We start from the raw sequence: 17,469 nt of genomic DNA, 5'->3' as shown, positions 1-17,469 counted from the left end.
TGCCCACTCACCGCTTACTTCCTGCTGTGTGGCCCGGTTGCTAACAGGCCACAGATGGGTACTGGTTAGTGGCTTGGGCATTGGGGACCCCTGGTTTAGAGGGAGACTGGTTTGAGTGAGGAAAAGAGCTGGAGAGAGAAAAATCAGATGGGATATTGCATGGAAGTCAACTGAGAAGTGAGAGTTAAGGATATTAGTTCCTAAATAGTGGTGAAGGAGTATATAGGATTTGTCATTAATAGACCTGTCTTGGTCTCCACTTTCCCACTAATTATGAGACCTTTGATTAATTGCTTTACCTTTCTGATTGGGAATTAGTATGAGCATGAGATTAACCTTATTACTATTGTTTTTAAAACTTGCATACTTATTTTGTATCAGTTATACTGTCATTTTACATGCATTATGTTGCATATAAAAGTCTTCTGTAAATTACAAAATAATATACAAAAAAAAGTGTTATCTGATTTGCCTTTCTCTTTACTTCTCACCACTGCTTTTAACTCTTTAGATCTTTAAAACTACTGACAAATACAAAATCTACTTTCGGACCTTGTTTTATTTTGAGATGCCTCCCTTTACCACCTTGCCTGCTCTTTTTTATTTTCTGAGCTACCAGAAGCCTCCCTCCAACCCCTTGCAATGGAATAGAACACTGTCTTGGTGCTCTTTTTCTTTTTTGTCCTACCAAATTTGACCATGTTTCTGTGGTCAAATACTTTCTAGGAATGATCACTTTTCTTTTATGGAAATATAGTTAGCAGGATTTTAAAGTTACATTAGGGATTGAAATATGGCATCATTTGTTTTATAATGAGAATAAGTGAGAAAATTAGGTTTATTAAATTGAAATAGACTTTGCAGGCAGATTTCTAGGTACGTTGTATTCCATATATTGAATAACACCGTACAAATCTTTGGGAAATCCCACTGGGAGACCCCAGTGAGGAACCTCACTTCTCTATCCAGAAAAATACTTGTTTATTTCTTGTTCTTTTGTTTTTTCTCCTTAAGTCAGTTCTCTGTAGTAAATCAACTAATTTTTTTTTAATTCTTAACTATATTTACTTTTGTTTCCTGACATGTAGGAGGCACTTACGTGTTTTTTTTTAACTTACTGAATGAACAAAACTCAGATGTTATTTATGTTTTGTTTCAATTAATGATGTCATCTGATATAATTTTCTCATTTCCCTCAAAGTACCGTTTCACTTCCAATTTAATCCCCAATCTAAGTACTGTAGACTTTAGGGTTAAGAGAAGCCAATTTGAAGAGCCATCTGGGGATTGTGAGAATCATTTCTGAGTTTCTTAAAGAGAAAGCTCACCTTCCCAGTATGAGCTTATTTGAAGAAAATGAAAAGGAGCAAATGAGAAAGGCAACATAAAGAGACATGGTCAGAGCAGGAATAATAAGGAAGGTACTTTTTGTCTGGCGGGGTGTCAAAGAAGAAGAAGAGTTTCGGTTTCTATTTGCCTCAGTTATCTCCTGCACAACATTTAAACAACATTCAAATTGGGACAGTGTTGGGAGATACCACTGGCCTTCTCGTTGGTTCATCCTGCGGGTCTTTTCAGTTCAGATCTGCTTCAGAGATGCCTCCCTTTACCACCTTGCCTGCTCTTTTTTATTTTCTGAGCTACCAGAATCCTCCCTCCAACCCCTTGCAATGGAATAGGACACTGTCTTGGTGCTCTTTTTCCTTTTTGTCCTACCAAATCTTACATAGACCCTTTCCATTTTGGAGGTCTTAAGGACTAACCACTTTGGGGAAACAGGCAGAGGTGAGAATAGCACTTTCCTGTCTGGGCTGGAATATTCTTTCCTTGACTATATTTTTCTAACTCTAGTTGTCTCCTTTACAATATCCAGGAGTATTTTTGGCACCAGTATTTGGCAACTCTATGCTTCCCCATAGGCTGTTTTATAAAAATGCATTAATTAGCTTATTAATTGATTTATACCTTCTTATTCCAAAATCTGGTGTCAGGGATGCCTCTAGTCCATAGGACATTTGGAAATATGAAATGATGGACATACTTGATCTTTCAAGTATCCAAACTCAGGTTCAATAAGAGGGCTAAACTGATCTTTTGGGTCAGAATGTCCCAGAGCTCAGACCTTAGATCTCTTTCTGTCTTTCCACTCATTTTTTAAAGGAGAGCATGTCCAGTACCATGGCTTTAAATACTACCTTTGTATTGTTGATGACTCCCAGATATACCTCTGTAGTCCCCCATGAAGTTCAGACACATTTCTGATTATGTACTAGATCTCTCCACTGGTATGTCCATAAATACTTTAAACTTAACGTGTCAGAATCAAACTCTTGATTCTCCATAATCTAAATTTGCTTTTCTTCTAGCATTCCCAATCACAGTAAACTGTTGCTCAGGCCAAAAATCTTTGAGTCTTTCTCTCATGTGCCACATTCAATTTTTCAGCAAGTGCTAGTAGATACTTTTTAAAATATATCTCAAGTCTGCCCACTTATCATTTCCTTCAGCATTACCATTCTAGTCCCAAGCCATCATCTCTCACCTCAACCACTGCAATAGGCTTGTGATGGTCTCCTTGCTTCACTCTTGCCCTGATCCCCCGCTTTAAAACATAAATTATATTATAGTTCTGTGCTGCTTAAAACTCAGTGACTTCTCATCAACAAGGTCTAACCTAATCTGGTCCTTGACTGCCTCTCTGACTTCATCCTCTATGAATATCCCTTTCACTTACTCCCCTCCAGCCACACTGGCCTAGCTTTCTTCAATCAGCCTAGGCACATTGCCACCTCAGAGTTTTTGCATTAGCTCTTCTCTCTGCCTCGAACTCCTTTTCTCCAGATATTTATGTGGCTTGTTCTTTTACTTCATTTGAGTCTATATTCAAATGTTATTTCCTCAGAGAGGCTTATTTCTTTATTAGCCATCTTGCTTAAAGTAGCACCCTCCTAAATTTGCTCTATAGTTCTTATTGCTATTGTACATTATATTAAAACTATTTGTTTTATTATCTGTGTCCACACTTGAATGCAGGCTCCATGAGGCCAGGGAGGGCAAGGGCATTGTCTGTTTTGTTCATTGCTGTATTCTCAGCACTTGGAACAGTGCCTGGCTCATATGATATACTAAATATATATATTTTGGGGTAAATGAGTGAATTTATGAAAAAGTGGCTGTACCTATTCTTTGAGAAGGATTCTGAAGGAATGTCCAACCTCACTTGGCAGGATCCATAGTCTCCAAATCACTGCTCCTGCCTCCATGCATAGATCAGTTATCTAACCAGTGTATGCATGCTTTTGGCTCCATGACACTCACCCCTCTGAATCTTTTCCGGCATAAGTTCCCTCATTTACTTACTCTCACAGGCTGTACTTTCCTTCTTCATCTCATAAAAGTGGGTTTTTAAAAGAATTTTATAACAAACGCTCATACATAGAAAAAGCAGTTTTTGTTAGGATATGAGATTTATTTCATGAGAGCAGTGGTGAGAACAGAAAACAAGGTAAAAGAAATTAGACACTTGGAAAAATTAAATTCCAGAGTTCTGAAGGAACTTGCAAATATTTTGGAGATAATATCCTTGTGAAATCATAGCCAATGGGAGAGGCAACAAAAGATTGCATTTTTTACTAATTGTAACTCACCTGAGTGTCACACATCTAACATTGAGTCCAACCTGGGTTACAAGGTTTTTAAAAAGACAAATGTGCTCAGAGTTGGTTAACAACGTAGTGAGGATATTTGTTATTTGATATAGGATTCAAAGGGATGAACGTCATGGAGGCAAGAGCATGCATACATTGGTTAGATAACTAATCTATGCCTGGAGGCAGGAGCAGTGATTTGGAGACTATGGACAGCATCCTACAATTAATGGTTGAATAATAATAATAATTGCAAACACTGTGTGCCAGGCATTATTCTAAATGTTTTTTGTAAAAAGTTATTTAATCCTCATCCTATGAAGTAGATACTATCATGTTTATTTTCAGGTGAGGAAATGAAGGGACAGAGAGGTTAAATTACACTGTCAGTGTCACACAGCTAGTAACAAGTAGCCAATATTGATTTTATTCTGATTTCAGAGTCTGTGCTCTTAACCACTGTGTTATTATCCTTGAATATTTGAGGTGGGTGCTACTGAAGAATAATTGGGGTGACTGTTGAAGTTGTAGGGAGTCAGTTGTATCCTCAGCCTCAATCTCAAGAGTCACCACCTCCTTCTCAGTCAGACTCTGAGTCTACCCAGTATGTACTTCTATAATAGGTCTGGTAAACTGGTAACAGCACTTTATTAGTTATTTGCTTTGATCTCGACCTCTTTCTATTAACCTACTTTATTTAACCTACTTTAAGAATTATATTTGATTTCTTTTTGAGCCCTTAAATTTAATTTAGTGCTTGGCATATAATGAATATTCAGTTTTTGGTGAATTAAAAAAATGAATGAAGGATCTTTAAATTGATTACAACTGACCCATGGTAGAATAGTTTTCCTGTGAAGCAGTGAGCTCCTGATCACTGGCAATATTCAAGCATGGGCTAGATGCTTGAAGGGATGCTGCAGAAGGAACATCCATGTCATATGAAAATGGAAAATTAGACCAAGTTTTTTTTTTTTTGTAACTGCAAATTATCTGGTGTTCCATTGAGTTAGTTGTGATTCTTTCTCCAAACATTTGTTGAGCACCTACTGTATTCCTGGCACTACAAAGATAAATGTGGCCAAGCCAACATCCATAAGGAGCTGGTAGTCAGTGAGTAATTAGGAAAAGAAGTGCTTAAGAGTATAGGTGTAAAGCTTTAGTAGATAAAAATAAATAGAAAAGGGTAGATTTTAGAGATGTTTTGAATAAAGGAGGAAGGGGAGAAGTAGATATAAAAGATGTCCCTAAAATTGCCCGTCTGAGAAGGAATTTGGGGAGTTAAGACCACCTGCTGTGTTGCTATGGGGGGATTCTTCAAAAGGGAAATATCACCATTTGCCATTAAGGTATGTGGTAGGGCTGGGTGTAATTCAGTAGAGATTAAGTTGTGAAGCATTTTAAATTTCTTGAAACAAATGTGCCTTCTCTTAGTAGTCTCCAAAACCCATAAAGATGATTAAGTACCCTCCCCCCAACTCTCTGCCCCTGTAGAGGTATTAACGCAAAATGGAATAATCTGTTAAGTCAAATAAAGGTAAGCTTTCTGGTGACTAGGACAAGAGTTCTAACAGTAAATGCAAAGCAACTCTTCAGTTTCTTTTCTGAATCATGTGCCTGGAATCTGTTAGGCAGTGAGGAATGGTGGTCTGTCTTTATATTACCCTGGTCCCTCATGCTGCTTATCTTTCACACATGTCCAAATATGTCTCAACACAGAATCATCCTCTCTAGCTGGGACATGATGCCTAGGTGGGTGGGGGATTCCCCTGTTTTGTTTAAAATCAAAGTTGTCTTTGAATTTGGCTAGCATGTTTGTGATTAGTTTACTGACAATTGGTTTTTTTTCTTCTTATACCATATGTTATTCCATGATTCATCAGCTTTGAGTCTGTTGCCTTGAAGGTGAAACAATTTCTTCCAATGTTGATATTTCATAATCTCATAGATAACAAGCATACGCATATGCATAGTCCTTTCAGAAGTTTTAAACATTTGGAGATGAATGAATTATGCTGCCACAAATGGAAAGGAGCAGTATAAAATTATAATGGTGATATCCAATCATCTTTTGTTGAGTGGTTTTGTGAACACTGACATTGATAAAGCCTGGATGCTCTACTATATTCCTTTATTTCTCCTTGTGAAATTGTTTCTGATATGTGTTGTTTATGATTTTAAAAATTTAACATTTTACTTAATTGCCTTGATTTACATGTATTTTAACATTTTAGACTGACAAGATCTTTATTTTTAGAAGTAAATAGTGTTTAACTTCCAAATAAATGCATAACATTAGCTGTTTATATTGTAATAGTGGCATCTCTTCTATATTTAATGTGTAGCAATGACTATTCAAACCTCAAGAAATGTTTTAGTTTATAATAGTAATTTTTCAAAATAATAGAATACATTACATTTTCTGAATCCAAAACAAAGCAGTTATGTCTGCATATGTGCTTTCTAAGTATTTAGAAGATTAGATTTCTAATAAACATGGCCTAAATTAGGTTTCTGCATGTAGCTTTAATCAATGCATTTATTGTGTTGCATCCTTTAGCCACCTTTCTCTTTTTACTCACAATGTCAGTAATTGTTTTTCAGTGAAGAAAATCTTTATAATTTTGTAGTGTAGATGCATGTGTAAAATATCTGTATAAGTTGTATATTTGGAGAGAGGTTTTTTAAAGATTCTAAATCACAGCATGTCTTCCTCCCTCTCTCCCCCACTTACCTGGTTTTAGCTCCTTTTTGGTTCAGGTGTGCTGGTGTCTCTAAGCCTTTCTGGGCCGCAGCTGGAGAAAGTGGTGATTGACAGAAGCCTGGTGGGGAAGCTCATCTCAGACACCATCAGTGATGGTAATTACCCCCATGTGCAAATCAATTGCCTACATTAACAGTGGGGCAGGAGAAATAGTGTGTCAACAGGTAGACTAATTATTACCACTGGGGACTTGCAAACACAACAAGTAATTGCTTGTAATAGCGTACTTACACCCCCTGGGACCAATACAAGTTTCGACTAATATTTAATATCAAAGTTTTTTTCTTGTCAACTGTTAAGCTTATATTCTGAGTTGTTTTTTACTTTTTCCTTAAAAGAAGTGAACATTTTTTCAAAATAGGGTTTTGTTTTCATTCTTTCAAAATTATTTCTCTATAACTGGCACTTCAAATATATATTTTATTTCCAAATGAATTTTGAATAAATAACACAAATATATCAACACAACCACCAGTACACAATTGATGCTTTGGCTCTCATAGGAAGATTCTTTGTTCCTAAAGTCTTAGAGAGATTTTGGGCTATATTTTCTAAATAGTAAAGACCAATGCCTAATATACTGGACAGTCAGGTCCTATTAAGTGACATCTCAATCAGTCTGTAATTGGTACAAAGCACATAAGAAAAAGATATTAAGCCAGTTATTGAATAGGAAGGATACTGACATTTATTGAACCAAAAGGCTCTATATGCTGGGTTCCTAACCTACCTATTTAATACAAGAAAACAATTGTATAAGGTATAGTTATTTCCATTTTTACACATAAGGAAACGAAGCTGAGCTACTAAGGAACATGTCCAGAGTCATATAGCTAGAAAGTGACTGAGCTAAGATTTGAATACAGGTTCGGGCTGTGAAGCCCATTTTCCTTTCACTATACTGTTCTGACTCCTGAATTTTTAAAGATTATATTCTTTTATTCAAGGTAAAAAGGTTGAGAAACATTGTATTATCATGAAAGATTGAAAATGGTCAGTATCTTAAATTTAGTAATCAAAGGAAGTATGTCCTAGTGGAAAGGACAGAGGTGAGAATAAAGAAATCTTCCGTCTGCTGTGTTCTCTCACTAGCTACCTCTGAATAAATCAGACACAATCACATCATCTTGAAGAAAAGAACTCTGCAGGATGGCCATAATTAGCAACATTACTGATAGTAATAAGCTGGGGGTAGGATTGTAAGCATGCCATTTTCCCTTCCTTACAGGAGTAAGGTGCTGAGGAAGCTTCCCTGTAGAAGAGGTTCCATTTTCATATGTCTAATAATTGACCCCTTCATTGGTACTGCAAATAAAATACTGGCTGTGATGATTTTGTTATATTGATGCTCCTCAATGAGAATTAAAAGGAAACTTTCAGCACAATTCGTGTCTCTGAGTTATCCTTTTTCATGTATTTCTTTTATTTGTACCCAAAATAATACACTCTCATGGGAACATGGTAACAATGTGATTTCTTGGCAGTTCTCCAGATTCTCTTGTAATTGTGTAGATCCACTGTTGGTCACTGTTTGTATGGTCAGGGGTGTGAAAGTAAAGGAAAATGTATAAAACATTTAATAATTTCTTTATGCTAGGAACAATGCAAAACATTTCTCAAATTCCTGTAACATGTTTTTATCAATAATTTTATGTAACATTAATAGCCCTTTATATAATCCACAAATATTAGTTATTTACCTACTTGTGTGCTTTGGTGACAAAGCTGTAGAAATATTGTGCTAATTTTCATTATTAGATATTAATTTATGTAATGTACATATTGGTCATAATATGCTTTATTTCATCCAGCTTGTATACCCCTAAAAGAAGATTCACTGATGAAAATTTTTTAAATAAATAGACTGGTAGAGAACACTGATCAGTATCCCCTAATAAATCCACTTTATCCTCGGATGGTTTCTATCATGTAAACATAGGATTAAACTCTTAGCACAAATAAAATGGAATGTTTTCGTCTCTACATTCAGGTGCGAAATAGTTTTTTAAAAATACCTTTATAGCCCTGTTTCTAAATACATCTCATCCATTGGTGGTCCCCAAATATCAGTGTATATTGAAATAGTCACAGGAAAAAAAATCACATATGATTAGATTGACAATTATTGTTTATTCCTAATATCTTTAATATTTTTATAAAATGCTATAATGATATTCAAGAGACTTTAGTGATTTCAGTTAATATGTATGTTTGAAAATAGCTTTTTGTAACATATCAGTGGAAAAATCTATTCATTATTTTATTCTAACTTGGTAATATCTAATTATGTTTTTTAGCTCTTCTCACAGACAGTTTTATCATCTTATCATTTTTGGCACAAAACAAACTATGTTTTATTCAGTTTACCAAGAAGATGGAGTCTTCTGATGTAAACAAAAGACTGGAAAAACTCTCAGCCTTGGATTATAAGGTAGAGATTTTGATTTATATAGTCATATTATTAATTATTAAGGTATATGAGAGTATCACATAAGTTGGTATTCTGCTCATTATTCTTCAACATTTCTGGATTTCAGAAAAACTGGAAATATTACAGGATTAAGCTTAATTAACTGTAAACAGTGGCCATCCTAAGTTTTCTTTTATACTCTCACTATGGGGGGTTGTCTAACAATGGCACGTTTGGAGCAATTTATATAGTATTTATAGACATCAAAGACAGATAATAGAGGCAAGTTACACTTTTGAAAATGGTTTTCGTGCCAGTGGTAGTATATATACCATTCTCATTTTCCCCTAAGACCCCATATCATCTTTCTAGGGTAGGATAGCTTTCTAGGGTAGGATACTTTCCACTTCACAAGAAAAGAAAGATGAAGGCACTTTGAAAGGTTAATAGAAAAGTGTAATAAACAAGGAGGGGGAAGAACCCTCCCCCTCCAGCTATAACTGGACAAAATGCAAAAAGAAATCTTCATGTGTTAGTATCTCACCCTTCACTAATTCCAGGTAATTTGTTTCCTTCCTGTATCAGGAGCTTTACATCTATTAAGGCAGAATTTTTATTTTAAGTGATGTGTTTAATTTGAGTTTTGCCACATTACATTTTAACTGCTGGGAAGGCATATTCTCTGCTAGGATGAGTAATACATTTTCCAGGCTGTTTCAGTTCAAGGCCTCTTTTCAACAGTGACTTGTGTTTGCAAGATTGATCCAACCTCTATGATGTGGATTTGAGACAGTTCACTGTTCACTGGGAACAGAGCTGATATACAGCTTCCTTAAAAAAGATGCACACTTATGCCATACCTAGAGCATCTGTAGCAAGAGCAAAGAGTTTGAGAAGCTAGCTCTGTAGCTTGAAATGTGTGTGTGTTTTTGGCAAAGTAGTATTTAACCTAACCTTTTGCCCTTTGGGATTATTACTTATGAATGAGGTGGTGGTAGCATGGGAGGATTTAGTTTTATTTAGTAGGAACATTTATTCTTAAAAAAAGATTTTTAATGTGGAATAAAATAAATGAGTTTTTCATTGTGGTGATAAACTACCATCTAGTTTCGTTTGCCAGCTTTGTGAAACTTCTATAAAACCTTAATATAGATTTTTTAAAACTGGAAATTAGTGCTACTTATTATATTTGGTTAGCCAAAACAAAAATGGTATTAGCATTCTTAAAGGGATGTTAGTTCTAGAATGGCTAACTTCAGATTTACTTGAAATACTGTTTATTTACTAAAATTGATCGGTCTTTAAAATGCACCAGTGTGCATTAACTCAAACCATTTAAAGTAAGTATATATAAAATTCTGGATGAGTAGTTTCTTTATCTTAGGTGTGATAGCTTGATAAAATCTTCTCAACTGAAGAGTAGTAGCTACCTGAGAACAGAGAGAAACTGTCAAGATGTCATCTTTTCTTATGAAAAGATGAGGAAAAGACATCTAGCGTTTGGGTCCTTAAACCTTAAGTAAGGGAATTACTTACTTGCTTATTCGAATATGCCTTTGGATTTAGGAAAATAGGAACATTGGCACTCCATGTCATTCCTATACATTAGAGAAGTAATCTGTTTCCCTTCGGAAAACTCATTAATTTCATTTCCTGGTTTAATATTTAAAATGTATATTTTTAATACTTAGTCAAATCTGCTATTTGTCCATTGGAAGGATATTTTAAGAAATTTGTTTATTTTACATTCCCTCTTGGTCATCATGACAGAATACTGATAATATTAAACTCATAGGAAACATGAAATTTCCTAACATTTCATAACGTAAGTGATTTGCATTATGTGACAACTGAAAATGTCAGTCACTCATTGTGACTCAATTTCCTCATCTAGAAATTCATAGGTAACACACTTATGCAGCAAATCAGACATTGAAATAATGTATGTGTATTTTTAAGTACTTAGCAATTTCATCGTGGTATTTCTCTCAAATAAGAAGACTTAATGATATTGAGAGCTTAAATATAAGAAATTACACTTAATAGCATAAAGTACATCTGTGTTGTCTGTCATTGCCCATTTGGATTTTAAAACAAGGAAGTGGTATAGAGTATTGTACTTTTGCTTTTCTTTACAGCTGTACCATAGTTTAATTCTTTCAGATTGACATAATTTTGGCAAAGAAAATTGCAGAGTAAACATCCTTAAACTATTGACCTTTAACAAGTTTTCCTGTCTACATCTGAAAAAAATCCAATTCAATTTATTTAACAGTGAAGGGACACTGTGAGGAGTTAAATGTTTACCATGAGAGAACAACACTGGTAATTACTTTGATTTCAGTTCCTTTTGATGTGCATTCAGAGGATGAAGAGGTCAATAATATTATGGCCATGCAAATAGAAAAGGGTTCCTTTTGACCATATTGAAAAAAAATAGCAGAGGATTATTAAAGCATTAACCTTGGTTTTAATGGCCTTGGTTGAGTGGTGAGATCACAATTTGGATGAGCCTGATTATTTACTAAATACAATACATAAATGCAACGGGTTCTTAACACCCGTTGCACTCTGGCATTATCGCATTACTGCCATCCTTTGTTGCCTTGCAGACAGGAATATGAAAGCAATCTGTCATGTAGTGAGACTGGCTCCAGAAGCATTTCTCTGATAAGAAGACCCCCTGCCCTTTGCTAGTGTCTGGTCCAGTAGGCTTAGCCATGCGCTTAATCCCCAGAAAGTGGTTCGATTATTGCTGACCAGCAATGGCAAGATAGTTTTTTTTTTCTTCCAAGCTATCAACCTTCCATTAATTCCTTAAGCAGAAATACGGTGCAATCTATATTTCCTTGGCATGTGTCACACAGATGGTGCCGTGCTTATGTTTTCAAATAACCATGTTCCAAAATAACATAGTTTGAATAATAAATTCTACAAATCCTGCCTAAGAAAGAGAAGCATAATTCTCAGAAGCTGCATAAACTTTTATGCATGATGCTGTGGCTTATCCCTTTTATGCAGAATATATGTGTATACGTCGCATATATTCTTTAAAGAGATATTTGCCTCAAGTTGTTTTTCCTTTTTTTGTTGTCAGTCATTGTTAACACGTTATGTCTTAAACAGTAGTGAGACTCTCTTGGTCAGCAGTACTGAACTTGTCATTTTATACAGCTGGTCCTAAATCATATGTGTAGGTCGATGCTGTCAGGCAACCATGACTGTACATTTTGGTATTGATTGGAATTGCTACATTCAATTTCTTCCTAGCTCACATTTCTCCTTTTCCTTCCTTTGCTAAAAATGGGGAGAATTTTGAACATATGTCTTTTTTATATATGTGTCAGAAGAATTTGGTAAATTCTGACACCTTCTTACGCACATGTTTAACATGCATATTTACTTGCATGTAACTACATTTCCAGATGCTTTAATTTTTGTAATACTTGAGGATTTTGCATCTTTTAAAAGAAATGTTTCATGTATGCTTTTTTAAAATTGTTAGATTTTCTATTATGAAATACCCGGCCCAATAAACAAGACAACAGAGCGACATCTAGCTATCAACTGTGTTCATGATAGAGTTGTTTGCTGGTGGCCACTGGTCAACGATGATGCTTGGCCTTGGGCCCCCATTTCTTCTGAGAAGGACAGAGCCAATCTACTCCTCCTGGGTTATGCTCAAGGAAGACTAGAGGTAAATCTAAAACAAATATGTACATTTTAATAAAGTGTAAATAAAATAGAATTATTAGATTTTCTATTCTGAAATAAATGTGAATATTTTTTACCTATAATTTATGTTTTTCAAATATTCAAAAAGTATCATATCTAGAAGATACCCAGACAATTCCAGGGCTGGCTAGAATAGTGTAGTAATTAAGAGTCCAGGCTTCCAGGTTCAAATGCTAGCTCTGCCACTATGTAGCTTCCTGTCCTTGACCAAGTTACTAACTTGTATGTGCTATAGTTTCATTATTTGAAAAATACAGTTCATGATGATAAATGAGTTAATACATGCATTTAGAGCAATATCAATGTATAGTAAGCCCTGAATCACTGTTCACTGTTATGACTCTTGTTATTATCATTATTAGTTCTATTATTACTGTTTACTCATGATATCATGCCTGTGAAAGCTTTTATTACCAATTACTCTCTTCAGACTTCAGTCAATTAACAAACATTAGTTAAATGCCTATATTGTGTAAGGCCCTGTCGTGCCAGACCGCATTTGGCGCAAGGATATTTAAGGAGAGCTATAGATTATGAGGTGAGGACAGTATCCTCTATCAATTCATGATAATGGTTTGATCATCCATTCATATATGTGAACCTATGTGTATTTTCAGTTTGTACTAGTACTTTGGTTACAGAATTCTCTGTTTTGTTGTATTATAGCTGTAAAAAAAGCTCCCTCTCCCCCACTTTCTTATGTAGGTAAAATAGTATGTTCCTATATTTGCCTCTAAATCAGTTATCTTTTAGACTTTAAGGAGTATTTCCCAGAATTAGTATTCGAGATAAGATGAATACTCTAAGCTTCTGCCTGCTTCTAGCTAATTCTGTGTTCTGTGCCTTTGAGTAGATCACCTACCCTATCTGACTTTAGTTTTCTTATTTTTAAAACGATTGATTTAATTCAGTTAGGTCACCTCGAGGTCTCTAACAGGTCTAAAAAGTGCTTCTATGGATCCTGAAGCACAGATCTGATTTAGACATTGCCTGCTTAAAAGTCTTCTGTAGATGCTAAAACCAAACTCAGCCTCAGCACTAAAAAACCCACCCTGATTGCCCTTGGCCTGCCTTTCCAGTGTTGTTTCCTTACATAAACCATGTCTTAGTCAAATGAATTTACTTGCTGACTCATTATTTCCTACCTCTGCATGTGCACATTAATGGTATTTCTACTTGAAATAGCCATGTCATTTAGCAACTACATATCCCCTGGTATGAAAAACACTGTATTTCATACCAGGGGATATGAATAAGAAACTGTCCCTGCCTTCAAGGATCTTAGTGTCTGCCAATAAGAGACAAATATGAAAATGTGTAAGTGCATTAAAGTGTTAATGGTGCTGTGGGTAGAGTATGTGTAAGCTATAGTGGGACCCAACAGAAAGTGGTGATCGATTCTACTTAGAGAGATGTTAAGTAGGGAAGATTGAAGAGGCTTCCCAATGTGCTTAAATATGAGCTTGGCACACAATTTTACTTTTTAAAATTATCCTTTCTTATCTCACCTTTCTAGAGTTGATATTATTAGCTCTGTGGAACGATTTGGCTAGCTTTTTCCTTTTCTCCTCTCTGTAACAGTACCAAAAGGAATTGATACTTGAAAGTTTGATAAAACTTACCTGTAAAACTTCCTGGGTGTGACGTCTTTTAAGGAGGGTAGATTTTTTTCATTACTGATTCCATTTTTAAAGGGTTGTTTTTTTCCTTTTTTTTCCACAATTGGTGTTTATAGAAAATTATTCATTTTATGCATTTGAATATTTTTTCATAAAGTTGTATGCAAATTTCTACATGATTCTTTATTCACCACTGATTGTATAATTTCCTCCCTTTTGATCTTATTAAGATATATAATTCATTTTTTTCTCAAGAGCTTTTGTTTTAGGAATTGGCCCTTTTAGTTATTCTAGCAACTGGAAAAATTTGTAAAGATTTCTTTTTTAGAGCTTCATGTGAAAGTCATTATGCAAAAAGTATAATCTTGTAGAAGAAATTTCTAGGGCATTAATTGTTTTTCTTGTGTGTGTGTGTGTGTGAAGACATAATCTTTAAATACGAAGTATAGAATTTTTTTTAGAATATCGTGAACCAAAAGTACCAGTCTATTAAAGTAGTATTCAGGCATATTCCTTTAATTTTTTTTTTTTTTCAGTAGCAGCCAAGGGACTTCTTGGACTAATCATCAGAATAAAGATACAATATGCTCTTAAACCCTAAAATTCAAACTAAAAAAAGAAAACAGCCTTGTAGAGAAGAAATTTAATCATTGGATCTACTATAGAATTTTTAAAAAGCATTTACCATCTAGGTTCTATCAGAAAAGATAAGCTTTTATTTGGACAATGGCAGGATCCTAGAGCAGTAGTTCCTAGCTTTGACAACACATTAAGATCACCTACAGAGCTTTTAAAAGAGGCCCACCCAGACCAGTTACATCAGAATCTCTGGAGGGGAGGGAGTATCAGTATCTTTTACAGGTTCCCTAGGCGATTTTCGTGGGCATCCAAGTTGAGAACCACTGCTATACAGCAAACTTAAAAAAAATGTTTTTTAAGCCATCTTTTTTACATAACAGACCATGAAAAGGATAAAGCCCACATACTGAACCAAATGCGAGTTTTAACAGTAGATTCTAAGTAGAAAATTGGCTTACCAAGCAGCTGAAAACAAAACAAAACAAAGGAAACATAGAAATAAGCTCTCTGTGACTGAATTATGTGATTTTCAGAGGAGAAACATTTTTAAATTATTTTATGGATATTAGAAAACTGCTGGTCTAATTTCACACCACAGAACTCTAAACAACAGTCCACACATATATTTTAGACGTAGTCTCGCTCTGTCACCAGGCTGGAGTCCAGTGGCGCAATCTCAGCTCACTGCAATCTCCGCCTCCCAGGTTCAAGTGATTATCCTGCCCCAGCCTCCCAAGTAGCTGAGACTACAGGCATGCACCACCACGCCCAGCTAGTTTTTGTATTTTTAGTAGAGACAGGGTTTCAACATGTTGGCCAGGATGGTCTCGATCTCTTGACCTCATGATCTGCCCGCCTCGGCCTCCCAAAGTGCTGGGATTACAGGCATGAGCCACCACGCCCAGCCCAACAGTCCATATCTTAATTAGAAGAACAGAACAGAGAGAATTATGTAGTCTAAGAAAAAATTCTTTTGAAAAATATACAGTAAATAGTACAGAAAAAAATTTTGTCAGTAAATTCATTTAAAAATATTAATATATTTTAATGTTCTCTATGTAGATCATCACATATAACATGGTAGTTGTTTTCATTTGAATTTCCACATACTCTTTCTTTTATTTTTCAACTTATTTTAGAATTGGGAGGTACTTGTGCAGGCTTGTTAACAAAGGTATATTGCAGGTTGCTGTGGTTTGGGGTATGATCGAAACCATCACCCAGGTAGTGAGCATAGTACCCAGTAGGTAGTTTTTTAGTCCTTGTCCTCCTCCCTCTCTCCCTGCTCTACTATTAGTCCCCACTGTATATTGTTTCCCTCTTTATGTCCGTGTATACCCAGTGTTTAGCTCCCACTTATAAGAGAGAACTGTTGTATTTACCTTTCTGTTCCTGCATTAATTCACTTAGTGGCCTCCAGCTGTATCCCTGTTGCTAGAAAGGACATACTTTTGTTCTTTTTTATGGCTGCATAGTATTTCATGGTGTGTGTGTGTGTGTGTGTGTGTGTGTGTGTGTGTGTGTGTGTGTGTATAACATTTTCTTTATCCAGTCCACCATTCGATGGGCACCTGGGTGGATTCCATGTTTTTGCTATTGTGAATAGCACTGCAGTGAATTTACAGGTGCACACGTCCTTTTGGTAGAATGATTTATTTTCTTTTCAGTGTATACCCAGTAATAGGATGGCTAGGTCGAATGGTAGTTCAACTCTTAGTTCTTTGAGAAATTTCCAGACTGCACTCCACAGTGGCTGGACTAATTTACATACCCACCAACAGTGTGTAAGTATCCCTTTTTTTCTGCAGCGTCACCAATTTCTGTTATTTTTTGACTTTTAACAAAAGCCATTCTGACTGGTGTGAGATGGTATCTCATTTTGGTTTTGATTTGCATTTCTCTGATGATTAGTGATTATGAGCATTCTTTCATATGTTTGTTGGCGATTTGTATGTCTTCTTTTGAGAAATTCATGTCCTTTGCCCGCTTTTTATAGAGGTTATTTGTTTTTTGCTTCTTGATTTGTTTATGTTCCTTATAGATCCTATGTATTAGACCTTTGTTGGATGCACAGTTTACAAATATTTTCTCTCATTCTGTAGGTTGTCTGTTTACTCTCTTTATAGTGTTTCTTGCTGTGTAGAAGCTCTTTAGTTTAATTAGGCCCCTCTTAATTTGTGTTTTTCTTGTATTTGCTTTTGAGGACTTTACCATAAATTCTTTGCTAAGACTGATATTGAGAAGGGTGTTTCCTAGGTTTCCTTGTAGGATATTTATAGTTTGAGGTCTTACCTTTAAGTTTTTTAAGTGAATTAATTTTTGTTTAATTTAATCGTGAATTAATTTTTGTTTATGCTGATAGGAGGGGTTCCAGTTTCATTCTTCTGCACATGAATAGCCAGCTATCCTAACACTATTTATTGAATAGGGAGTGTTTTCCCCATTGCTTATTTTTGTCAAGTTTGTTGAAGAACAAGATGGTTGTAGGTGTGTGACTTTTTTTCTGGGTTCTCTATTCTGTTCCATCTCTAGGTTGCTTTGGGCATTATGGCCATTTTAACAAGAATGATTCTTCCAATCTCTGAGCATGGAATGTTTTTCCATTTATTTGTGTTGTCTCTGATTTCTTTCAGCAGTATTTCGTAGTTCTTATTGCAGAGATCTTTTACCTCCCTTGTTAGCTGTCTTCTTAGGCATTTTATTCTTTTTGTGGCT

General features: G+C 35.4%; 1 protein-coding gene across 24 annotated transcripts in view, besides 1 other annotated feature; it reads left to right on the top strand.

Moving 5' to 3' along the window:
- Positions 1-17,469, top strand: part of WDPCP (WD repeat containing planar cell polarity effector) — a 721,268-nt gene that overhangs the window by 394,564 nt on the left and 309,235 nt on the right. For 21 of the 24 annotated variants that reach the window (NR_148705.2, NR_148704.2, XR_007076380.1 and 18 more), the window contains 3 exons: positions 6,392-6,506; positions 8,709-8,842; positions 12,327-12,518. Coding sequence is in view for 19 of the 24 variants with exons in the window: in XM_047444629.1 (XP_047300585.1) it covers positions 6,392-6,506; positions 8,709-8,842; positions 12,327-12,518 (441 nt within the window). In the remaining 5 variants the exon portion in view is untranslated. Of the gene's footprint in view, positions 1-6,391; positions 6,507-8,255; positions 8,402-8,708; positions 8,843-12,326; positions 12,519-17,469 lie in introns of those variants that run through there. The other 3 variants (NR_122106.2, XM_047444633.1, NM_001042692.3) reach the window with 1 other exon arrangement.
- Positions 1,487-1,596: an enhancer, noted in NCBI's record as "active region_15876". NCBI's record gives its function as "activates an Ori minimal core promoter by ATAC-STARR-seq in GM12878 lymphoblastoid cells {active_cell/tissue: GM12878}" and the evidence as "EXISTENCE:reporter gene assay evidence [ECO:0000049][PMID:35858748]".

This window comes from Homo sapiens, chromosome 2, assembly GCF_000001405.40.
Source record: "Homo sapiens chromosome 2, GRCh38.p14 Primary Assembly".
Taxonomy (NCBI): Eukaryota; Metazoa; Chordata; class Mammalia; order Primates; family Hominidae; genus Homo; species Homo sapiens.
This window is presented reverse-complemented; position numbering and strand designations above follow the sequence as displayed.